The sequence below is a fragment of the Homo sapiens genome, chromosome 16 (assembly GCF_000001405.40).
Source record: "Homo sapiens chromosome 16, GRCh38.p14 Primary Assembly".
In the NCBI taxonomy this organism is placed as follows: domain Eukaryota; kingdom Metazoa; phylum Chordata; class Mammalia; order Primates; family Hominidae; genus Homo; species Homo sapiens.
In genome coordinates this window covers 89,815,256-89,838,682 of record NC_000016.10, presented here as the reverse complement: position 1 = coordinate 89,838,682, position 23,427 = coordinate 89,815,256, and the positions used below count along the sequence as shown (strand labels likewise).

The window sequence follows — 23,427 nt, the reverse complement described above, 5'->3', positions numbered from 1 at the left end:
GAAATCAAGGTGTGAGAGTGAGTAAGCCCGCAGCACCCAAGTCAGTCTTAGAATTCAGGGTGGGGGCCTGGTGGTCTGGGGCAAACACAGATCTGCCATCAGACAGCCTGTGTGGCTTCCGTGGCTCACCGTGCTTCCCTGAGCTTCCCTGGTTCCCGCTGATGAAACAGAGAAATCACCTACCATAAGAGTTATTGTAGGCTGGGGACGGTGGCTCACGCCTGTAATCCCAGCACTTTGGGAGGCCGAGGCAGGCCGATCACCTGAGGTAAGGGGTTCAAGACCAGCCTGGCCAACATGGTGAAACCCCATCTCTACTAAAAAATACAAAAATTAGCTGGGCATGGTGGTGGGTTCCTGTAGTCCCAGCTACTCAGGAGGCTGAGGCAGGAGAATGGCAAGAACCTAGGAGGTGGAGTTTGCAGTGAGCTGAGATTGCACCACTACACTCCAGCCTGGGCAATGTGGTAAGATCCCGTCTCTCTTAAAAATACAAAAAAAAAAAAAAAAAAAAAAAATGCTGAGCGTGGTGGTGTGTGCCTGTGGTCCCAGTTACTCTGGAGGCTGAGGTGGGAGAATCGTTTGATCCCCGGAGGCGGAGACTGCAGTGAGCTGAGGCACTCCAGCCTGGGTGACAGAGCAAGACTTGTCTCAGAAAAAAAAATAAAAACAAAAAAAGAAGCTGCTGAGAGCAGGCAAATGGAAGCCCAGAGGGAGAAACGCCCGCACGAAACCAGGAGTCTGTGTTTGTTTAGCAAACAGAGCCTGCTCTTTGGGTCAGAGGGAACCATGTGGTTGAGCCGTGAGCTTCCTCTTGCATCTCACTTCCGCCAGTGCTCGTCTCAGAGGGCGGTGGCTGATCCCTGGCTGAGACCAACCCACTCGTTCCATAAACTCACACGCCCCCCGCACGGGGCGTCCTCCTCCTCAACAAGAACCCAGGATGCCAGGCATCAATGCCTGCGGAGACCCGAGTCCGGGAGGTGCGTGCGGAGACCCGAGTCCGGGAGGCGTGTGTTGGCCACAGAACTGCCCTCAGCAGTGCCCCTGATCCCCCGCTTCTCCGCTCCTGCAGGGATCCCGACCCAGCCCCTGCCTGGCGTGTGTCAAGTCTTGAGGTGAGCCCTAAGGGGACCCCACCGCTGGTCACAGCAGAAAGGCAGCAGCTGAGAGGTGACAGCGTCAGATCCTACCTGAGAAGGTGCCCTCTCTCCTGGCTAAGAAGCACCCCTGTCACATGCGCCTCACGATGCGGCTATGCTATTAATCCCGGTCCAAGAGGTCCAGAGAGGGTGAGGAACTGACCCAAGGCCACCCAGCTGAGTCTGACCCTGGGCCTAGCCTTGGCTCCAGGGCTGACACGGAGACCTCAACTCTTCCCCCTCACCACCATCCGAGTCCCCTGAGGGTGGGGTGCCTCACTCCTGCAGCAGCAGACCAGGGAACTTGTTACAGATGCAGATTCTCAGGCTGACCTGGGAGGGTCAGAGTCAGATGTTCCGGGCAGGACTCGGATCTGGATTTAACAGGCCTGACAACGGAGCCTCGAGTCCTGCTCGAGGGAGAAGACCTGCAATTCCAGAACCCACGCGACGGGCCAGGCACGGGCAGCTTTGGAAACACAGATTCCTGGGGCCTGCAAAGACCTACAGAACAGGAATCTGGGGTGCAGGATTTTTTCTTTTTTTAGCTGGAGTTTCACTCTTGTTACCTAGGCTGGAGTGCAATGGCGCAATCCTGGCTCACCACAACCTCCGCCTCCCAGGTTCAAGCGATTCTCCTGCCTCATCCTCCTCAGTAGCTGGGATTACAGGCATGTACCACGACGCCCAGCTAACTTTCTTTTTTTCTTTTTTTTTTTTTTCAGTAGAGACGGGGTTTCTCCATGTTGGTCAGGCTGGTCTCGAACTCCCGACCTCAGGTGATCCGCCTGCCTTGGCCTCCCAAAGTGCTGGGATGACAGGCGTGAGCCACCGCCCCCGGCCGGGGGATATTTTTCACAGCTCTCCAGGGCGGTGAGACCTTCACAGCAGAGGTCAAGGTCGTTCTGGGTGAATGTACATTCCGGATTCTTGCATTTCACTGTATGTAAATTTCACCTCAAAAGAAACAACTATAAACAAACGTTGGTGTCTGCTTAATACCACACAGGCTGAAGTATTTAGGGGAACCGTCCTACCATCCACAACTTCCCTGAAATGCATTAAAATGAGATGGAAGGGAGGATGGAGAGAGACGCAAGGAAATACCTGGAGACAGTGGAGGAGGATCTGGAGGTGGGTTGTGGGCACTCCCTCAGATTCTCGGCCCCCGGTCCGCTGCAGTCGGCAGAATCACGGCCCCTAAAGCTGTCTGTGTTCTAACCCCAGAACCTGTGAGCATGTACCGAGAGGAGCTTACAGTGGCAGTTGAGGGTCCAGGTGCTGACCCCTGACAGGTGGATCATCCTGGGTTTCTGACCTCTTCAACTGTAAGAGAATAACCTATGTTTGTTTTGTTTTTGTTTTTGAAATGGAGTCTCACTGTGTCGCCCAGGCTGGAGGGCAGTGGCGCAATCTCGACTCACTACAACCTCCGCCTCCCAGATTCAAGCGATTCTCCTGCCTTAACCTCCTAAACAACTGGGACTACAGACGCCCGCCACCAAGCTCAGCAAATTTTTGTATTTTTAGTAGAGACGGGGTTTCACCATGTTGGCCAGGCTGTTCTCAAACTCCTGACCTCATGTGATCCGCCAGCCTCAGCCTCCCAAAGTGCTGGGATTACAGGTGTGAGCCACCACACCTGGCCCATACACTCCTTTTAAACTACTCCCACGCACTCCTCCCGCTCCTCAGTCCCAGAGAGACACACGCGCTGGAATGAAGGGGTCTTTGGAATGAGGAGGACAGAGAAGCCAGGCGAGGCTGGGCCCTTCCTCCAGGTGTCCTCGACTTCCCCGGCACGGGCTGATTTGCCTAATTACCAGGTGTGTTTCCAGCCCGCCTTCCTCCTAAATGGGGCCTCAACCTTATCTGGAGTCCCAATGCCCTCTGAGGAGTCAGAGTGAATGATCAGAGCCGAAACCTTCTGTCTTCCTGCACTGAGACCCACTGATATGTTTGCTTAAATGGGCTGCAAACCAGGACCAGACCAACCAGTCCCTACAGGCTGTGGGAGCCGGCTCTCACCAGCACTCCAATACCCCTGTTGCTGAATTAGGAAGACATAGCAGATTCTTTCCTATCTGGGGCAGAGAAACTACTCTCTGTGAACATCAGGCTGGTGGTGAGTCGGTGTAGGAGGGCCTGGAAGGTGGCAGTGAGGACGGGGCCACATTCCCACCATTAACCGAATCTCAACAGTAGCACAGGGACCCCAAGCCTTTGCCCAAAAGCACAAGGCAGAACTTGCAAGAGCTGCCCAAGCCAGGGCTCAGCGAAAAATCACACGGGCTATGCTTATCCACGCTTCTAAGACGGCCAACCGCGAGCGCAGGCAGGTTCACAGATTCACACGGGCTATGCTTATCCACGCTTCTACGACGGCCAACCGTGAGTGCGGGCAGGTTCACAGATTCACACGGGCTATGCTTATCTAGGCTTCTACGACGGCCAACTGCGAGTGCGGGCAGGTTCACAGATTCACACGGGCTATGCTTATCCACGCTTCTACGACGGCCAACCGCGAGTGCGGGCAGGTTCACAGATTCACCCGGGCTATGCTTATGGGGCCTTCTACGACGGCCAGCCGCGAGTGCGGGCAGGTTCACAGATTCACACGGGCTATGCTTGTGGGGCCTTCTACGACGGCCAGCTGCGAGTGCGGGCAGGTTCACAGATTCACACGGGCTATGCTTATGGGGCCTTCTACGACGGCCAACCGCGAATGCGGGCAGGTTCACAGATTCACATGGGCTATGCTTATCCACACTTCTACGATGGCCAACCGCGAGTGCGGGCAGGTTCACAGATTCACACGGGCTATGCTTATCCAGGCTTCTACGACGGCCAACCGCGAGTGCGGGCAGGTTCACAGATTCACACGGGCTATGCTTATCCAGGCTTCTACAACGGCCAACCGCGAGTGCGGGCAGGTTCACAGATTCACACGGGCTATGCTTATGGGGCCTTCTACGACGGCCAACCGCGAATGCGGGCAGGTTCACAGATTCACATGGGCTATGCTTATCCACACTTCTACGATGGCCAACCGCGAGTGCGGGCAGGTTCACAGATTCACACGGGCTATGCTTATCCAGGCTTCTACGATGGCCAACCGCGAGTGCGGGCAGGTTCACAGATTCACACGGGCTATGCTTATCCAGGCTTCTACGACGGCCAACCGTGAGCACAGGCAGGTTCACAGATTCACACGGGCTATGCTTATGGGGCCTTCTACGACGGCCAACCGCGAGCGCGGGCAGGTTCACAGATTCACACGGGCTATGCTTATCCATGCTTCTACGACGGCCAACCGTGAGCACAGGCAGGTTCACAGATTCACACGGGCTATGCTTATCCAGGCTTCTACGACGGCCAACCGCGAGCGCAGGCAGGTTCACAGATTCACACGGGCTATGCTTATCCATGCTTCTACGACGGCCAACCGCGAGCGCAGGCAGGTTCACAGATGTCTCCGTAAAGAGAAGAGTCTTGCTGCAGGACTGCCTTCCTGTGAGGTAACCCTTGCTCAGAGGTGAGACTATATCGGGAATGCCATCTACAAACAAACCCCAGCTCACACAGAGACACACCCAGCTCACACCCACACCCACACACAGCGGCCAGCCTCCTTCCCGCTTTCTACATGGGAGGGCTCAGGGATAGAGGTCATTTTACGTCACAGGGAAACACGCCCCGGAGGAGCTCCCAGCCCCCACCGGGTGCACCTTGCAGAACCCCTCCCTGAGAATCCGGTCGGGATTCGCAGCCTGGACCCACACGTGCTGCTCCCCAAGGCAGGTCCAGCGAGTGCACAGGTGCAGATCCCTTGCTGCCACCTCCACTGGCCAGTGCTTCCGGAGCCAGGCGTGCCCAGGGCTGCACAGACGTTAGCACCACGCTGCACCTCCCATTTCACGGAGAAGGAAACCGAGGCACAAAGGCGAAGCTTCTCAAGCCCAGCAGGCCGTAGGCCTGAGCTGAACCTGCCCCTGAGCCCAGCAGGGCGTAGGGGCTGAGCTGAACCTGCCCCTGATACCACCTGGGTGGCTGCTTTCCCTTTGTGGACTTGAGTCTTCTCATTTGTAAAATGGGAATCAAAACAGTGCCTTTGGCCAGGCGGGTGCGGTGGCTCACCCTGTAATCCCAGCACTTTTGGAGGCTGAGGCAGGCGGATCACCTGAGGTCAGGGGTTTGAGACCAGCCTGGCCAACATGGTGAAACCCCATCTCTACTAAAAATACAAAAAGATGGCCGGGTGCGGTGGCTCATGCCTGTCATCCCAGCACTTTCGGAGGCCAAGGCAGGCGGATCACCTGAGGTCAGGAGTTCGAGACCAGCCTGGCCAACATGGTGAAACCCCATCTCTACTAAAAATACAAAAAGGCATGTGCGGTGGCACATGCCTGTAATCCCAGCTACTCCGGAGGCTGAGGCAGGAGAATCACTTGAACCTGGGGAGGCAGAGGTTGCAGTGAGCTGAGATCACGGCATTGCACTCCAGCCTAGGCAACAGAGCGAAACTCTGTCTCACAAAAAAAAAAAAAAGAAATCAGCTGGGTTTGGTGGCAGGCACCTGTAATCCCAGCTACTTGGGAGGCTGAGGCAGGAGAATCGCTTGAACTCAGGAGGCTAAGGTTGCAGTGAGCCGAGATCATGCCATTGCACTCCAGCCTGGGCAATAAGAGCGAAACTCTGTCCCAAAAAACAACAACAACAACAAAAACAGGGCCCTTCATCAGAGGAGCAAACAAGAGCATGGAAGGGCACTGCTCAGCCCGGCTCTGCAAACGCCCCTGGATGCTGAAGCAATGTGCCCACCTGTAAGGGGCACCTGGCCTCATCTCCACACCGTGTCTTGACTGAGTTCTCCTCCCAGGGTGCAATAGAAGCAGGGCCTGAGCTCCGAGGGTGCCCAGGGACAGTGAGGGCAGGTGATGCTGGCCGTGATGCCCCTCAGCTCTGGTGAGGAGTCAGGAAGCTGCTAACAGAAGCCACCTGGTTTAAGGAACGCATTCCAAGCAGAAGTGTCCTGGCTTCCAGAGGGAGACTCAGGAGGAGGAAAATATTATCTCCTCTGGGAGCAGAATTTCATCTTTCCAATCAGTTCTTGCTTTTCTCCAGCACAACTACAGACACCATCTCCAGAAAACAACTAAACACTCATGTGCACACGTTTGCAGACTGCTATTTTAAAATAAAGGCAAGCTCACCAGACAGTCCTGGCCACTGAGGAGGCCCAGCCAGCCCAGATCCAGCGGCAGAACAGGCAGGCTGGCTGCGGGCTCGAGGCCACGGTGCTCCTCGGCAAAGGTGGACTCCAGCACAGACACACAAACGGGCTTCCGTGGGTGAAAAGGATGCCCCTTCACATGGGCCGTAACCATGGGGTGCTTCCTGGGCCCAGAGCCCCTCTCTTGCCTCACGCGGGCACGCGCTGCCATCACTCCGCCTTGAGGAGGAATGGGAGCAAGAAGCTGGGGCCTGCTCATCAGCACGGCGCGGGATGGAGGGAACCAGAGGAGGGAAGAGCTTCGCCCTCTGCAGAGCTCTGGACGTGGACACGGTGCCCCGTGCTGCCTAGATCACTATGGATGTTTCTGTTTAGAACACAGGCCGCGAGATGAACAGGTTGGGAAGGCTTAGACATCTGGGAGTGCGCGGGGCTGCGAAACAGCAGAACCCCAGAGCCAGTGCTCTAAGGGTGCCTTAGAGGCAGATGGCCTGAGAGCCGGGCAGAAGGGGGAGGGGCAGGAGAAAGGGCGGGGGATACCTGGAGGACCAGCAACGTGGGGCATCCTAGCGTAAAGAGCGGGGCCTGCCTGTGAAAAAGTTTAGCATCCAGGCCAGGCGTGGTGGCTTACGCCTGTAATCCCAGCACTTTGGGAGGCCGAGGTGGGCGGATCATGAGGTCAGGAGATCGAGACCATTCTGGCTAACACAGTGAAACCCAGTCTCTACTAAAAATACAAAAAATTAGCCGGGCGTGGTGGCGGGCGCATGTAGTCCCAGCTACTCGGGACGCTGAGGCAGGAGAATGGCGTGAACCCAGTAGGCGAAGCTTGCAGTGAGCCGAGAACGCGCCACTGCACTCCAGCCTGGGCGACAGAGCGAGACTGTCTCATAAAAAAAAAAAAAAAAGAAAGAAAGAAAAAAAGTTTAGCATCCAAAGTTGACAAGAAAAAACATTCAAAAAATAGGGTCACGTGTAAAGTAGCCAATCAGGGTGAAGAGGGCAGGTGACGGAAGGAAGGGCCATCCCACCCACCTTGCACATGGACCACACAGACCCTCATTAGCACCACGTCTGAGATGTATTTGAGAAACCACCCAGCTGGGCGCAGTGGCTCACGCCTGTAATCCCAGCACTTTGGAAGGCCGAGGTGGGCAGATCACGAGGTCAGGAGATCGAGACCATCCTGGCTAACACGGTGAAACCCCGTCTCTACTAAAAATACAAAAAATTAGCCGGGCGTGGTGGCGGGCGCCTGTAGTCCCAGCTACTCGGGAGGCTGAGGCAGGAGAATGGCGTGAACCCGGGAGGTGGAGCTTGCAGTGAGCAGAGATTGTGCCGCTGCACTCCAGCCTGGGCAACAGAGCGAGACTCCCTCTCAAAAAAAAAAAAAAAAAAAGATTCTAAGCAGTTACAAAGTCTTCAGAGTAAAGATTAGGAAGTCTCTTCTAGTCATTTTTTTCCTAATCTTGGCTTGGAAATGAGAAGTATTACTACTTGTGTGCTAAGATAATATTATTCATCCTCCTAAGTATGGTCTAGTTTGTTGTTGGTTTTTTTCAAAGTGGTTTTACACACCTACTGCCCATATTCAGTTTGTGTGAGAGGGTGGGTACTGAAGACCCAAGGTTACAGGTTGAGAAATTCAACTGGAGCAAAAAACTGAGACTACAATGCCAACAAGTGAGATTGGATGTTTTCCTATTGATATCTACAGGGAGAAATAAGTATGCATCTTTTAATGTATTTACTTATCACTTAAGTCCCAGAGAAAGGCTGGGTTAGCCACCTTTGAGGAGACAGCTGGCCTGATGTCTCAGCTGACTCAGAAGCACCACAAGGATGGCACAGAAAGTTCAGGGTAATAGATTTTTCTTAAACCTTCAAGAGAGAGCAAGTCATAAAACTCATTCGCCTTCATGAGACAGGGTTATGAACAGAAAACAAAGATCGTTATCAAATAAAAAATGAACTGGACCACAGGTGGGTACCACCCCCTAAGGTCAACACAGTGCCCTACCTGAACTTTGAACCCCAGCCAGGAACTGCTGCCGGGGCTGTGAGGACCAGGAAGGGGCCACACCACCCAGGGATGGAGGTGGAGAGAATCAGATCACTGCTCTGAGGACGCCTTGCACAGCACCAACAGGAAGCAGGCGGCTGGGCTCCCGCACAGCTAGGACAAATGAGGAGCTCTGGATTCTAACCACCCGGCAAACCACTTACCACTGTGTGCCTCGGTTTCCCCATCTTTACAGTCAGAGGGTCAGACGAACCAGGCTGCCTACAGCCTCCTCCTGCTCTGCACTTATCTCCAGGAATGGGGTGAAGTCCAGGCACCCTTTCACAGAGGCTCTGTGAGCATGCAGCCTCCTGGGCCCCATGCACCTGCCGTCTCACCCCACCCTCTGGGCGGCAGTGGGCACAGCCCTGAGGGACGCCACAGTGAATCTGAACGCTGCCACTGTCTGAGTGCCAGCGCAAGCCTGCGCCTCAGGTTTCTCCAGAGGGAGTAAAACCTCAGGGCCTGCTCTTGCTGTCACCTGTGTGGGATACTGCAAATGGCAGGAGTGTGGAGGCAGCTGAGGGGGGGGCTCCAGGATGAGCAGGACCTGGTGAAGGAACAAGGGCCCTTGGGTGGGGCACAACGGCCCCCACCCCTCGTGGCTCTGTAGCTTGCTTCTGTCTGGCCTTGCCCTGGCCCTTCCTGGTCCTCCACATAGGCCTGCTCATGCAAACCCACAGCTCTCAGGCCTGGAGAGAGTGCGGCAAACACACAGCCTGCCTCTGCCCCCCGGCAGGGTACCAGCTTTTGGGGTCATATCACATGCTCCAAGCCAGCACTCCAGCTCTCCAGGGAAGAAATCACTTTCGGTTTTTTTCGTAAAGGGTAAATAATCACTTAAGCTCACCATTCTCACTAACTTCAAGTATCTTTCTAGGGCTTAATTGTTGGTTCTGGTTGATGGTTAAGAATAGAAACACCAAGCAGGTTGTCCCCCCAACTTTACACACCCCTTCCTCTCCCAGTTAAACCCAGGAATTTAGTGTCAGTTCAGACGCCAAGTGAGGCGCAGCCCCCCACCTTCCACCCAGGAGAAAATGCCCCAAGGGGACGCTTCTGTCTCCTTTCCTGCTGAAGGCAGGGGAGGAGTCGCCCCAGCAAAGGCCAGCTCCGTGCTCCCTGAGCCACCGGCCCAAGTCCCTCTCCCGGAGGAAGCCAGGCCACTGGGGAGCAGCCCGCTCCGCGCTGGGAGAGGCGTCAGGTGGGGGGGTCCGGGAGGGGAACGTCCAGGGCCGGGGAGGGAGAGGAAGGAGGGAGAGAAGGAGGGAGGAAAGAGAGAGGGAAAGAGGGACGGAGAGTGGGAGGGAGGGAGCTCCGGGTCCCGCAGAGAAGGGGATCTCCCGCTCCAGAACCGGTCGCAGCCTCTCCGCCGGGACCACCCCCACCCAGGGGGCGGGACGGACGCCCCAGACCGCGGTCCCCGCCGGCTGCCCCGCCCCCGGCCTCACCCGCGGCCTCGGGCTCCCGCGCCCCGACCGAGCCGTCCCCGCGCAGCAGGAGGTCCCCGGTATCCCGCAGGCGCCGGCCCGGCGAGCCCCGCAGCCCGCGGCAGCCCTGGAAGCACACGGCCCACGCCTGCTCCTCGTTGAGCGGCTGCTCGTAGGCCTTCAGCACCTCCTCCAGGGACAGCTCCCAGGGCTCCGGCCGCCCTGCGCCCGCCGCGGCGCCGCCGCAGCTGCCCGCCCGGGCCATGGCGGGGCCGTCATCGCCTCCCGCGCGCCGGACCCGCGTCCATGCAGCCGCGCCTTCCGCCGCGCAGGGTCAGCCTGGCCGCCCCGCCCCGCGCGAGCGCCTCAGGTTGGGGGCGGGGCGGCGACGGGGGCGGGGCGCGGAGGGCGCGGGGGGCGGGGCGCGGAGGGGGAGGGACGCGGGGCGGGGCGGGGAGTGGAGGGCGCGCGGGGAGAGGCCCGGAGGGGGACGGGTGAGGGGCAGGGCGGGGCGCGGGTAGGTGCGGAGGGGCTGGGGCTCAGGGCTGGGGACGCGGGGGCGCGGGGCCGAGGCCGGGGTGCGAACCCCTCCGGGGTGCTGGGCAGGACCGGGGGGAGGGTTGGGGGCTGCAGACATGGGCCAGGGCCCGCGCGCTCGGACACGCGGTGACACCCCCGGCGCTCCCCCGCAGACCCAGACGGCCGATGCCCACAAAAGCCCGGGCCGGCATCCAGCCCGGGACACTGCGGTGACCGCGGGGGGCCTGGGAGGTTTGCCGCTGGGAACGCGGGAGGGAGCCGGGAGGAGCTGAGCAGACAAAGCCCGCAGTGGCCTCCCCGAGCCCCGGGCAAGGTGACCTCCAGGGGTTGTCGCAGGGTGGCTGGGGTGAGGGCGACTCCCCGCATCCGGCCTTCGGGTATGAAGCCCTTAATAAATGCCTCTGCCTAGCAGGGAATGTGCCTGCAGTGACGTCTCCAGGGTGTCCGTGAAAAATAAACACACACGGTTGGCCAGTGATGGCGTGCATCGCATTTGGGGCGTGTTTGTGTCTTCAGGCCGGGTCACTCCTGGACACTGGGTGTTTGCCTGAGGGACGCAAGGGGAACTCGGCTGGGGCTCATCCCGAGGCCTCTTCATAGTTGTGCCAGATCTGAATAAGTGGGCAAGAAAATGCAGTTGGGGCATAAACGGTCCCAAGCCTGGGTGCTGCCAGTACCACCCGGGGGCAAGAAATGCAGATTCCTGGGCTCCAGGGCTGGAGATTCTGATGCAGGTCCGAGGTGAAACTTGGGGCACTTAAAGTTCGCTGGTCTCCCAGGAGTTCTGGACCTGCCTGGACAACACAGTGAGATCCCATCCCAGAAAAGAAGTTCCACAATGATTTTTTTTTCTTTTTTTTTTTTTAGAGACAAGGTCTCACCCAGGCTGAAGTGCAATGGTACAATCGTAGCTCACTATAACCTCAAATTCCTGGGGTCAAGTGATCCTCCCACGTCAGCTTCCTGAGTAGATGGGACTAAAGGCATGAACCACCACGCCCAGCTGATTGTTTTTATTTTTTGTGGAGATGGGATCTCACCATGTTGCCCAGGCTGGTCTTGAATTCCTGGGCTCAAGCAGTCAGGCCACCTTGGTCTCCCAAAGTACTGGGATTACAAGCGTGAGCAACCGCGCCCAGTCCAGCTGGACTTTTCTTTTCTTTCCCTTTCTTTTTTTTTTTTTTGAGAAGGAGTTTTGCTCTTATCGCCCAGGCTGGAGTGCAGTGGCGCAACCTTGGCTCACTGCAACCTCTACCTCCCAGATTCAAGCGTTTCTCCTGCCTCAGCCTCAAAGTAGCTGGAACTACAGGCGCCCACCACCACACCCGGGTAATTTTTTGGGTGGTTTCGCCATGTCGGCCAGGCCGGTCTCGAAATCCTGACCTCAGGTGATCCCCCTGCCTCAGCCTCCCAGGGTGCTGGGGTTGCAGGCATGAGCCATGTCGTCCCGTCCAGCTGGACTTTTCATCTGTAAGCAGAAAGGAGGCTGATGATGACGAATTGTGCCTAAAGTTTGTTTGTTTGTTTGTTTTGAGGCAGAGTCGCGCTCTGTTGCCCAGGCTAGAGTGCAGTGACGCGATCTCTGCTCACTGCAAGCTCCCCTCCCAGGTTTACGCCATTCTCCTGCCTCAGCCTCCTGAGTAGCTGAGACTACAGGCGCCTGCCACCACGCCCAGCTAATTTTTTGTATTTTTTTAGTAGAGACGGGGTTTCACTGTATTAGCTAGGATGGTCTCAATCTCCTGACCTCATGATCCGCCCGCCTCGGCCTCTCAAAGTGCTGGGATTACAGGCATGAGCCACTGTGCCCAGCCATGCCTAAAGTTTTTATAATCAACAGCGGGGCAACATTCACATCTTTTGTTGGTTCCCCAAGCTAAAACACAACCAAAAGTAACAGGAGTGGGCTGGGCACGGTGGCTCATGCCTGTAATCCCAGCACTTTGGGAGGCCGAGGCAACCCGATGGCTTGAACCCAGGAGTTCGAGACCTGCCAGGGCAACATGAGACCCTATCGCTACAAAACTTTAAAAACATTAGCCAGGTGTGGAGGTGTGTGCCGGTGGTCCCAGCTACTTGGGAGGGTAAGGCAGGAGGACCACTTGAGCCTGGGAGGTCGAGGTTGCAGTGCGCTGTGATTGCACCACTGCACTCCAGCCTGGGTGACGGTGAGACCCTGTCTCTAGTAAATAGATGCATAAAGACTAATAGGCGCAGTGGGGTTTTGCAGAAGGAAAATTGGAGATGAGCGGGGTGGGGATGGGGTGCCATGCCCTGAATACCATGTACCACAAACCTGGCACTCAAGCAGATCTCCCCTCCTGATTTGTCCCTGCCACCCGCAGCATGGGTACCAACGATGGGTAAGTTAGGAATTTCAAGTTCTGGCTTAGAAGAGCAACAGCAGAAAACCTTCCATGAGGCATCTTATTCCACAGGAGCAGCACGCTCTACATTCGTGGTAACCAAAGTCCCTGGCCCACACACTGCCAGGTGTGTGATGATGGGGAATTGTTCTCTGCTGATGTCTGAGGCTGATCCTTGGTCCCACACACAGGGTGGTTTCTCCCTTCAGAATGCACGGGGATAAAGACTTCCATTTGTGGCCGAGCGCGGTGGCTCACTCCTGTAATCCCAGCACTTTGGGAGGCCGAGGCGGATGGATCAAGAGGTCAGGAGATTGAGACTATCCTGGCTAACATGGTGAAACCCGTCTCTACTAAAAAACACAAAAAATTAGCCAGGAGTGGTGTCGGGTGCCTGTAGTTCCAGATACTGGGGAGGCTAAAGCAGGAGAATGGCGTGAACCCAGGAGGCGGAGCTTGCAGTGAGCCGAGATCGCGCCACTGCACTCCAGCCTGGGCGACAGAGCGAGACTCCATCTCAAAAATAAAAAAAGAAAAAAAAAAAGACTTCCATTTGCAACACCCCACTGAGTAGGTCTCACTGCTTCTTGCCAGAAGTCAAGGTGGGGGACATTGCTCTCACCACGACTGGCCACCACCCCAGAGCACTCTTTGGACGTGCAGCCTCATCACTGCCACAGTGCAGCACTGGCCGGGGACATTTGAGCAGAAGATGGTAATTACCCTAATGGGAAGCTGGCTGGGGCACAAGGGGACCTTCTCTCTTCCTCAAAGGGCCTCACGTGTCCCTTACCGACCACAAGGTTTTAGGGTGTAATTTGTGAGCTCAGTCCTCCAGCCACTGCTGCATCCTGGCAAGGACCTAGTGCTGACTCACCTGGCTGAACAGTGACCCTTGAGGTCACGTGAGTGGGGTACAGTGACCCTCTCTGAACTGGCATCCACCATCCTACCTGGGATCCCTATGGACTCACCAGCAGGACTTAGAACACTGAGATTTTAGTAAAAAATTTTAAAAGTTAGGGCTGGGCACGGTGGCTCAAGCCTGTAATCCCAGCACTTTGGGAGGCCAAGGGGGCAGATCACGAGGTCAGGAGTTCCAGACCAGCCTGGCCAATATGGTGAAACCCCATCTCTACTAGAAAAATAATTAAAAAAAAAAAAATTAGCAGGGCGTGGTGGCACATGCCTATAATCCCAGCTACTCGGGAGGCTGAGGCAGAAGAATTGCTTGAACCCAGGAGGCGGAGGTCGCAGTGAGCCGAGATCGCACCACTGCACTCCAGCCTGGGAAACAGAGCAAGACTCCATCTCAAAAAAAATAAAAAGAAATAAAACATGGCCGGGCATGGTGGCTCACACCTGTAATCCCAGCACTTTGGGAGGCCGAGGCAGGCAGATCACAAGGTCAGGAGATCAAGGCCATCCTGGCCAACACGGTGAAACCCCATCTCTACTAAAAATACAAAAGGCCAGGCACAGTGGCTCACGCCTGTAATCCCAGCACTTTGGGAGGCTGAGGCGGGCAGATCACGAGGTCAGGAGATCGAGACCATCCTGGCTAGCACGGTGAAACCCTGTCTCTACTAAAAATACAAAAAAATTAGCCGGGCGTGGTGGGGGGGTGCCTGTAGTCCCAGCTACTCGGGAGGCTGAGGCAGGAGAATGCCGTGAACCTGGGAGGTGGAGCTTGCAGTGAGCCAAGATTGCGCCACTGCATTGCAGCCTGGGCGACAGAGCGAGACTCTGTCTCAAAAAATAAATAAATAAAAAATAAAAATAAAAATACAAAAATTAGCTGGGCATGGTGGCACATGCCTGTAGTCCCAGCTACTCAGGAGGGTGAGGCAGGACAATCGCCTGAATCCAGGAGGCGGAGGTTGCAGTGAGCCGAGATCACACCACTGCACTCCAGCCTGGTGACACAGTGAGACTCTGTCTCAAAAAACAAACAAACAGAAAAAGGGACTCAACGAGAAGCACTGTAGAGATTGATGTAGGTCAGTCATTAAGTCAGCTTGGAAAGCTTTAGAGCAGGGGTGTCCAATCTTTTGGCTTCCCTGGACCACACTGGAAGACGAATTGTCTTGAGCCACACGTAAAATACACTAACAATAGCTCTGTGCATAAATCTCACAATGTTTTAAGAAAGTTTAAGAATTTGTGTTGGGCTGCATTCAAAGCTTTCCTGGGCCGCATGCAGCCCACAGGCCGCGGGTTGGACAAGCTTGCTTTAGATCAAGGCCATTTCTACAGTTATGGATTGCCTGCATCTAAAAACATGCTCCTTGTCCTTCATTTCCAGTAGATTAGGAAATCCTGGGAGAGGGAAATTATCAGTAACTGGGCTGCTCCGCTTGGGGACAAACTAGAGACATTTAGTATGATGATGAATCCAGCAGTGCTTGGGGCTGGACAATCACTTTATCAAGTTATCACATTAACAGAAACACCCCCAAAATGTTTATCTCATGGTACCAGCTGCTCATTCATGCCAATTTACCAGGCACTGATTTCTCATGCCTGGGGAAAGAGCAGGGCAACCCCAGGTAGGTGCCTGCCCCTCTGTTCTTACAGGCAGAGCAACGATACACAAGGAAACAAAGACCAGCACAGCAGGTGGGGAAGGGCTCCAGGTGCCGACATCAATCAGGAACCCACTGGTCATGTTTGCTTTTGCCCATGCTCTGTGTTTGGTGCTTTGAATAATATCAGACGGAGCCCTTTGAGGGGCTGTAAATCTTCTCCACACCATGGCAGTGCACTCAGAGGGGCTGTGTGGCTCATGACTGCAGTTGGCCACAGATTAAAAAGCTCTAGGAATTATACCTCTCAGCATCTTTACAGACAGAGCCTAGAAGATCTCAACTGTAGGTTCCTGGAGGCTGAGAAGGTAAGTTGGCGCTGGTTCCCCAGGTGTTCTGTGGCTCTAATTACACAGAGAATTCCAGGGTTCTTCATTTCAGGAGAGGAGTGCAGGGCCCCAGGGTACAAGGTGGCATAGCAAGAACCCTGAGTGCCTTGGGACAGAAGTCAGAGCAAGTCAGACACAAAGTCAACTTCAGGTCAAAGGCCTCCTCCACCATCTGGACTCAGGCAGAGCCACTTCACCTGGGGCCAGTGGAGTGCAGAGGTTTCTTTGGCCACGCCTTACTCATTCCATTTCAGACTCAAAAACAAGGTTGGCTCCTCCCAAGGGATTATGTGCACACTGTACTGGTGAGCAGCCTGGCCTCCTGCACCCCCGAGGCCCCTGAATACTCTCTTTGTCACAGTCTGTGCAGCCAGGCAGGGTCAGAGCTCAGGGGCCCAGGAGGAAAAGCAGACATTTGAGAGCCCTGGTTTTGTGTTGTGTTTATTTTAGGGTAACTATACAGGCCGTGGATCCCAAGGGGTGCAAGACTGAGCCAGGCTGGGCTTGATCTCTGAAAGGGAACTCACGACAGATCTGAGGGAAGGGTTCCGGCCCGGGGTGCTCCAGGGTTTCTAGGCTGGTGACCGACACAGAGGCTGAGCATGGCTGAACCCAGACACCGCGAGGGATCCAGACCATGCGGCGGAATGCGTGGCCATGGGGAGGTCCCAGAGCAGAGACAGAGGAAGCCCTGGACAGCAGGCGGGCTGGGTCAGCGAGCAGGACCCGTGCGGTATGGTGAAGAGAGACACACGCTGCGATTCTGAGTCAGGAGATGAGAGAAATACTCAAGGCCCTGTCTGCTTCCTATTGAGGGTGGTCAGAGTTATTTACACATGCTGAATTTGTTTCTCTTTTGAACAGATAAAGCAAGGTGGTTAAAAATGAATGGGTCCTGGCTGGGCGTGGTGGCTCACACCTGTAATCCCAGCACTTGGGGAGGTTGAGGCGGGTAGATCACCTGAGGTTGGGGGTTGGGAGTCTGAGACCAGCCTGACCAACATGGAGAAACCCTGTCTCTACTAAAAATACAAAATTAGTCAGGCATGGTGGCGCAGGGCTATAATCCCAGCTGCTCGGGAAGCTGAGACAGGAGAATCTCTTGAACCCGGGAGGTGGAGGTTGCGGTGAGCCATGATCTCGCCATTGCACTCCAGGCTGGGTGACAAGAGCGAAACTCTGTGCCTCAAAAAAAAAAAAAACAAGAATGGGACATGCTGAGATGTGTCACTTAGACACTAGTTCCTGTGTGAACATGGGGTTGACAAGCTCCTCCCCACGTGACAGCAAACATCGTCTCAGATGGTGAAAGCACCTCCAGTGCCCGCCCAGGGGCCTGAACGTTGTAAGATGAGAGAACTAGGCTGGACGTGGCGCCTCACACCTGTCGTCCCAGCACTTTGGGAGGCTGAGGTAGGAGGACCAAGAGCCTGGGAGGCGGAGGCGGAGGTTGTAGTGAGACGAGATTGCGCCACTCTAGCCTTAGTGGCAGAGTGAGACCCTGTCTCAAAAAAAAAAAAGGCCAGGCGCGGTGGCGCACGCCTGTAATCCCAGCACTTTGGGAGGCCGAGGCGGGCGGATCACCTGAGGTCAGGAGTTTGAGACCAGCCTGGCCAACATGGCAAAACCCTGTCTCTACTAAAAATACAAAAATTAGACAGGCGTGGTGGCAGGCACCTGTAATCCCAGCTACTCGGGAGGCTGAGGCGGGAGAATCGCTTGAACCTGGAAGGCAGTGGTTGCAGTGAGCCAAGATCATGCCACTGCAGTCCAGCCTGGGCAACAGAGTGAGACTCCATCTTAAAAAAAAAAAAAAAAAAGAATGCAGAAGTTCCTCACAACTCATGGGCATAATTCTCCCCACACTGCTCAGTGACAAGGCAGAGGCAGAACAGGCCATTATAAAAGATGTGCCAGATCAAAGGACAGATGAACTTTTCTTTTCTTTTCTTTTCTTTTCGAGAGGGAGTTTTGCTCTTGTCGCCCAGGCTGGAGTGCAGTGTCATGATCTCAGTTCACTGCAAGGTTTGCCTCCCAGGCTGAAGCGATTCTCCTGTCTCAGCCTCCCCAGAAGCTGGGATTACAGGTGCCCACCACCACAGCCGGCTCATTTTTTGTATTTTTAGTAGAGACCAGGTTTCTCCATGTTGGGGACGCTGGTCTCAAACTCCTGACTTCAGGTAATCTGCCCACCTCGGCCTCCCAAAGTGCTGGGATTACAGGCGCGCGCCACCATACGCTTTTTTTTTTTTTTTTGAGACAGAGTCTCAATCTGTCGCCCAGGCTGTAGTTGGCATGATCTCGGCTCACTGCAACCTACATCTCCTGGGTTCAAGTGATTCTCCAGCCTCAGCCTCCCAAGTAGCTGCGATTACAGGCACTGGTCACCACGCCCGGCTAATTTTGTATTTTTAGTAGAGATGTGGTTTCACCATGTTGGCCAGGCCAAATTCGAACTCCTGACCTCAGGTGATCTACCCACCTCAGCCTCCCAAAGCGCTGGGATTACAGTCATGAGCCACCCCACTTGTCCTAGACAGAAAATTATCTTTTTTTTGAGACGGAGTGTCGCTCTGTCACCCAGGCTGGAGTGCAGTGGCACGATCTCAGCTCACTGCAAGCTCCGCCTCCTGGGTTCAAGCAAATCTCCCGCCTCAGCCTCCTGAGTAGCTGGAATTACATGCACCTGCCACCACACCCGGCTAATTTTTGTAGTTTTGGTAGAGATGGGGTTTCACCATGTTGTCCAAGCTGGTCTCGAACTCCTGCTCTCAGGTGACCCGCCTGCCTCAGCCTCCCAAAGTGCTGGGATTACAGGCGTGAGCCACTGCGCCGGGCCAAGACAAGAGTTTTGCTCTAGTTGCCCAGGCTGGAGTGCAGTGGCGCAATCTTGGTTTACTGCAACCTTCGCCTCCTGGGTTCAGGCGATTCTCCTGCCTCAGCCTCCCGAGTAGCTGGGATTACAGGCATGCACCACCACACCTGGCTGATTTTGTATTTTTAGTAGAGACGGGGTTTCTCCATGTTCGTCAGGCTGGTCTTGAACTCCTGACCTCAGGTGATCTGCCTGCCTTGGCCTCCCAAAGTGCTGGGATTACAGGCATGAGCCACCACACCTGGCCAATTTTTGTGTTTTTAGTAGAGATGAGATTTCACCATGTTGGCCAGGCTAGTCTCAAACTCCTGACCTCAGGTGATCCACCGGCCTCGGCCCCCCAAAATGCTGGGATTACAAGTGTGAGACACCGTGCCCAGCACCCCTGCCTTTTTTTTTTTTTTGAGACAGGGTGTCACTCTGTCATCCAGGCTGGAGTGCAGTGGCGTGATGGTGGCTCCCTGCAGCCTCAGCCTCCTGGGCTCAAGTGATCCTCTCACCTCAGCCTCCCAAGTAGCTGGGACTATGTAGGGTCCAGCCCTATGGGGCTTAGTGGGTGTTCTCCCCATGTACGGAGAAGAGAGATTGTAATAAATAAAGACACAAGACCAAGAAATAAAGAGAAAACAGCTGGGCCCCGGGGACCACTACCATCAAGACGCGGAGACTGGTAGCGGCCCCGAACGGCTAGGCTCTTTGATATCTATTGCATACATGACAAGGGGGCAGCGTAAGGAAGGTGAATCTTCTAAGTGATTGACAAGGTGAAGCATGTCACGTGATTACAGGATGGGGGCCCTTCCCTTTCAGGTAGGTGAAGCAGAGAAAGAAGGCAGCATACGTCAGCATTTTCTTCTCTGCACTTATAAGAAAGATCAAAGACTTTAAGACTTTCACTATTTCTTCTACCGCTATCTACTACGAACTTCAAAGACGAACCAGAAGTAAGGGAGGAACATGAAAGTGGACAAGGAGCGTGACCAGTGAAGCACCACAGGGAGGGGTTTAGGCCTCCGGATGACTGCGTGCAGGCCTGGATAACATCCAGCCTCCCACAAGAAGCTGGTGGAGCAGAGTGTTCCCTGACTCCTCCAAGCAAAGGAGACTCCCTTTCATGGTCTGCTAAGTAACGGGTGCCTTCCCAGACACTGGCGTTACCGCTTGACCAAGGAGCCCTCAAGCGGCCCTTATGCGGGCATGACAGAAGGTTCACCTCTTGCCTTCCACTCACTTCTCACAATGTCCTTTCAGCACCTGACCCTATACCCACCGGTTATTCCTAGGTTATATTAGTAATGCAACAAACAGTAATATTAAAAGCTAATGATTAATGTTTATAATAATTGATAATTGTCCATGATCATCTCCATAATTTGTATTATGACTGTTCTTATTGTAACGATTTTATTATACTGAAATAGTTTGTGCCTTCGGTCTCTTGCCTCGGCACCTGGGTAATTCTCCGCCCACAGGACTACAGGCTCGTGTCACCACACTGGGCAATACAAAAAATACAAAAAAAAAATTTTGTATTTTTTGTAGAGACGAGGTCTTGCCATATTGCCCAGGCTGGAATTCTTACCTTTGTTACTGTATTTAACGTATCTTTTTCCTCCGGCCATCTTCATGGTTTTCTCTCTGATTTCCACAGTTTGAATACACTGCATGTGTCAGGCAGGGGCTCATATTTATCAAGTTTTGTGTGTGCTCTGAGCTCAGGTCTTTCATTATTTTGGGAAAATTATTGGTAATTTTCTCTTCAAACATTTTTTATGATTTGTTCTTTCTTCTTCTTTTGGGAGTCCTATTACATGCATATGATATCATTTGATATTTTCCCACAGTTCTTGGATGCTTTTTTTAAAAAAAAACTTTTTTTCTTCTTTATTTTCCAACGTGGGTAATTCCTATTTTTCTCAGCTGTGTTGATCCTACTGCTGCCCCATCAGAAAAATTACCTGTTATCAGCGTTCTTCCTTTCTTATAATTTGATGAGTTTCCTCCTCATGCATATTGTTCACCTTTCGTACAAGAGACCTCCACATATTAATCACAGTTAATTTAAATTTCCAGCCTGTTTCAATTTCTCGATCACCTCTGAGTCTAGTCCTGTTAATTGCTTAGTGTTATTTTTTGTTTTTGAAACAGGGTCTTGCTCTGTTGCCCAGGCTGGAGTGCAGCGGCGCGATCTCAGGCTGTTCCCTGAGTTCACACCATCCCCCTCAACCAGCAGATTGCAAAGTGTCCGAGTCGGGCCGTGCAGGAGTCTTTGTGGGGGTTTCATGGACTCCGAATTCTCATTTCTGCTCCATCCCCATCTCATGAATCCAAGGCCCCACTCTGTGCCTCGGCTCTTCGTTTGTGGTGCTGAACGTCATCTACGTCATCTACGCCATCTACGTAATCAACACAATAAAGACGCCTGCCGGGAACGCGGCCCTTCGGCTGAATCCCTTCGGTGGTTCCAAGGCCACTGCCAGAGGATGCGGACGGGTCTCCAGGGCCTCTACTTACCCAGGACTTTGAGGCACATTAGCTTCGCCTAGGCACTCGCTTTTACGAATTCTTATGTTTGGTTTTGTTTTGAGACAGAGTCTCGCTCTGCCGCCCAGGCTGGTTAAAAGATAGGGTCTCAGCCGGGTGCGGTGGCTCACGCCTGTAATCCCAGCACTTTGGGAGGCCGAGGCGGGCGGATCACCTGAGGTCCGGAGTTCGAGACTAGCCTGGGCCAACATGGCGAAACGCTGTCTCTACTAAAAATAACAAAAATCATCCAGGCGTGGTGGCGCGCACCTGCAATCCCAGCTACTCGGGAGGCTGAGGCAGGAGAATCACCTGAACCCAGGAGGCAGACGTTGCAGTGAGCCGAGATCGCGCCACTGCACTCCAGCCTGGGCGACAGAGGGAGACTCCGTCTCAAAAAAAGGAAAAAAAAAAAAAAGAAAAGAAACAAAAGTGATGGGGTCTCGCTCTGTTGCCCAGGCTAGTCTGGAATTCCTGGGCTCAAGCGACCCTCCAGCCTCGGCCTCCCAAAGCGCTGGGAATACAGGCGCGGCTACCGCGCGGTCTCCGGCTGCCGAAACACCGCCCTGCGCGCGGACCGTTCGGCCGCCGGGAGGAACAGCGGCTGCCCGGAGCTCAGAGGCGCGCGCGGCTTTGCGCTCCCCGCGGCGCTCTGAGCCTGCCTCGGCTTGGTTGGCCAGGTGGTCTCTTCAGGACCAACCCCAGTCATTCCCGGCAGGAACCACGCTTGAGGGGCGGCAGTCTGCCCGCGCGAGACGCCCCCGCGGACTACACCGCGGCGGCAAAGCCAAACGCAAAAACTACCTCACCGCGCGCAGGCGCCTCCCCCAGGACCAACATGGCCACGACGCAAGGCCTCGACCTGAGGGGCGTGGCCTGGCCGCCGCCAGCCAACGGGTGTGCGCGCCTGGCCGCAGCCAATAGGAAGGCAGCGCGGGCTCGGGCGCAGGGAGCCGCCGCCGGGGCTGTAGGCGCCAAGGCCATGTCCGACTCGTGGGTCCCGAACTCCGCCTCGGGCCAGGACCCAGGGGGCCGCCGGAGGGCCTGGGCCGAGCTGCTGGGTAGGTGGGCGCGGCAGGCCGCGGGAGTGGGCGGCGTCCGGCCCGGGACGGTTTCGCCGGTTCCCCGATCCCTTCCCGCCAGAGCCTCCGCCGGTCGGATCCCCGGACGCCGCGCCCGGGGGGCTGTGCGGGGTGGGCGCCCGGCTGGGGCGGCGCGGCTGCCTCGGACCCGGCCCCTCCTGCGCCTGGGCGGACGCCCCCAGCCGCCGCCCGCGGGGCGCTCCCTTCTTTCCCGAACGCCGCCCCCGCCGGCCGCCCTGTCAGGCGGGCCTGGGGTGCGCGGCCTGGGGCTCCCCTCAGCGCAGAGGCCGCCCCTCGCCAGCCGTCCCCGGGCTCCCCTGCCTCGGGCCCTCCTGGGCCGTCTTCCCCGGCGTCCGCGGTGGGGCCGTCTCCGTTAGTTTCCCGAGACCTGCGCCCTGGGGAGGAGCCCCGGCCCCTCTTCGGGAGGGTGTCGCTGGTGGGTTTCTCCGCGGCGTCCACCTGCGCGTCGGGCCGGGGACCCCGTGTGTGAATTGTGCTGTGATGGTTTCGAACCGACTTCTCTCCGTAGCGGGAAGGGTCAAGAGGGAAAAATATAATCCTGAAAGGGCACAGAAATTAAAGGAATCAGCTGTGCGCCTCCTGCGAAGCCATCAGGACCTGAATGCCCTTTTGCTTGAGGTAAGAGGAAGCTGGTGTCCGTCTGCGGGCAGATTTAGGTTCGGGGTTTTTGAGTCCAGCCACCGCACAGCTTTCCTAAGAAAACACCCGAGGCGGCGGGCGCGGTGGCCTGGCCCGCAGAGGGGAGGGTCGCCTGAGCCCGGGAGTTCTGGACCAACCTGGGCAACGGGGTGAGACCCCGCCTCTTTTATTAAAAACAAAACAACAACAACAAAAAAACAGGCCGGGCGCCGTGGCTCAGGGCTGTAATCCCAGCTTTTGGGGAGGCCAAGGCGGGTGGATCACTCAGGGTCAGGAGTTCGAGACCAGCCTGGCCAACATAGTGAAACCCGGTCTCTACTGAAAATACAAAAATTAGCTGGGTGTGGTGGCGCACGCCTTTAATCCCAGCTACTCGGGAGCCTGAGGCAGGAGAATTGCTTGAACCTGGACCCGGGAGGCAGAAATTGCAGTGAGCCGAGATCACGCCCCTTGCAATCCAGTCTGGATTACAGAGTGAGACTGTCTCACAAAAAAAAAAAAAAAAAAAAAAAAAAAAAAAGCCGGGCGTGGTGGCTCACGCCTGTAATCCTAGCCCTTTGGGAGGCCGAAGTGGGTAGATCACTTGAGGTTAGGAGTTCG

At 55.4% G+C, this 23,427-nt stretch overlaps 2 protein-coding genes and 1 long non-coding RNA gene across 6 annotated transcripts in view, besides 10 other annotated features; 2 read left to right on the top strand and 1 right to left on the bottom strand.

Moving 5' to 3' along the window:
• SPIRE2 (spire type actin nucleation factor 2) overlaps nt 1–10,208 on the bottom strand; it is a 42,845-nt gene extending 32,637 nt beyond the window's left edge. Inside the window, exon 1 of the mRNA NM_032451.2 lies at nt 9,889–10,208. Coding sequence (NP_115827.1) covers nt 9,889–10,132 — 244 coding nt within the window. The 5' untranslated portion in view covers nt 10,133–10,208. The remainder of the gene's footprint in view (nt 1–9,888) is intronic.
• Nucleotides 403–1,024: an enhancer, noted in NCBI's record as "H3K27ac-H3K4me1 hESC enhancer chr16:89904067-89904688 (GRCh37/hg19 assembly coordinates)". NCBI's record gives its function as "activates a minimal SCP1, AML or CMV promoter by ChIP-STARR-seq in naive H9 embryonic stem cells {active_cell/tissue: H9 hESC(naive)}" and the evidence as "EXISTENCE:reporter gene assay evidence [ECO:0000049][PMID:30033119]".
• Nucleotides 645–2,124, top strand: LOC124903760 (uncharacterized). Its single transcript, XR_007065186.1, has 2 exons — nt 645–983; nt 1,076–2,124. It is a non-coding gene; the product is annotated as an uncharacterized LOC124903760 (long non-coding RNA).
• Nucleotides 1,025–1,647: an enhancer, noted in NCBI's record as "H3K27ac-H3K4me1 hESC enhancer chr16:89903444-89904066 (GRCh37/hg19 assembly coordinates)". NCBI's record gives its function as "activates a minimal SCP1, AML or CMV promoter by ChIP-STARR-seq in naive H9 embryonic stem cells {active_cell/tissue: H9 hESC(naive)}" and the evidence as "EXISTENCE:reporter gene assay evidence [ECO:0000049][PMID:30033119]".
• Nucleotides 3,659–4,858: an enhancer, noted in NCBI's record as "BRD4-independent group 4 enhancer chr16:89900233-89901432 (GRCh37/hg19 assembly coordinates)". NCBI's record gives its function as "activates an origin of replication core promoter dependent on BRD2, P300/CBP, MED14 and CDK7 cofactors, and independent of BRD4, by STARR-seq in HCT116 cells {active_cell/tissue: HCT116}" and the evidence as "EXISTENCE:reporter gene assay evidence [ECO:0000049][PMID:35650434]".
• Nucleotides 10,065–10,154: a silencer, noted in NCBI's record as "silent region_7927". NCBI's record gives its function as "represses an Ori minimal core promoter by ATAC-STARR-seq in GM12878 lymphoblastoid cells {active_cell/tissue: GM12878}" and the evidence as "EXISTENCE:reporter gene assay evidence [ECO:0000049][PMID:35858748]".
• Nucleotides 16,321–16,490: an enhancer, noted in NCBI's record as "experimental_46779 CRE fragment used in MPRA reporter constructs". NCBI's record gives its function as "activates a minimal promoter by MPRAs in K562 erythroleukemia cells, with activity observed for both the introgressed and non-introgressed 16:89888686 variant alleles {active_cell/tissue: K562}" and the evidence as "EXISTENCE:reporter gene assay evidence [ECO:0000049][PMID:34662402]".
• Nucleotides 21,373–21,422: an enhancer, noted in NCBI's record as "active region_11422". NCBI's record gives its function as "activates an Ori minimal core promoter by ATAC-STARR-seq in GM12878 lymphoblastoid cells {active_cell/tissue: GM12878}" and the evidence as "EXISTENCE:reporter gene assay evidence [ECO:0000049][PMID:35858748]".
• Nucleotides 21,808–22,102: an enhancer, noted in NCBI's record as "tiled region #3988; HepG2 Activating DNase unmatched - State 1:Tss, and K562 Activating DNase matched - State 1:Tss". NCBI's record gives its function as "activates a minimal TATA promoter and a strong SV40 promoter by Sharpr-MPRA in HepG2 and K562 cells {active_cell/tissue: HepG2 | K562}" and the evidence as "EXISTENCE:reporter gene assay evidence [ECO:0000049][PMID:27701403]".
• Nucleotides 21,808–22,252: a biological region, named in NCBI's record as "Sharpr-MPRA regulatory region 3988".
• Nucleotides 21,963–22,252: a silencer, noted in NCBI's record as "silent region_7926". NCBI's record gives its function as "represses an Ori minimal core promoter by ATAC-STARR-seq in GM12878 lymphoblastoid cells {active_cell/tissue: GM12878}" and the evidence as "EXISTENCE:reporter gene assay evidence [ECO:0000049][PMID:35858748]".
• The window catches only part of FANCA (FA complementation group A), a 79,099-nt gene continuing 77,707 nt past the window's right edge, over nt 22,036–23,427 (top strand). For all 4 annotated transcript variants that reach the window (NM_000135.4, NM_001286167.3, NM_001351830.2 and 1 more), the window contains exons 1-2: nt 22,036–22,146; nt 22,697–22,806. In NM_000135.4, coding sequence (NP_000126.2) covers nt 22,068–22,146; nt 22,697–22,806 — 189 coding nt within the window. In that variant the 5' untranslated portion in view covers nt 22,036–22,067. The remainder of the gene's footprint in view (nt 22,147–22,696; nt 22,807–23,427) is intronic.
• Nucleotides 22,483–22,532: a silencer, noted in NCBI's record as "silent region_7925". NCBI's record gives its function as "represses an Ori minimal core promoter by ATAC-STARR-seq in GM12878 lymphoblastoid cells {active_cell/tissue: GM12878}" and the evidence as "EXISTENCE:reporter gene assay evidence [ECO:0000049][PMID:35858748]".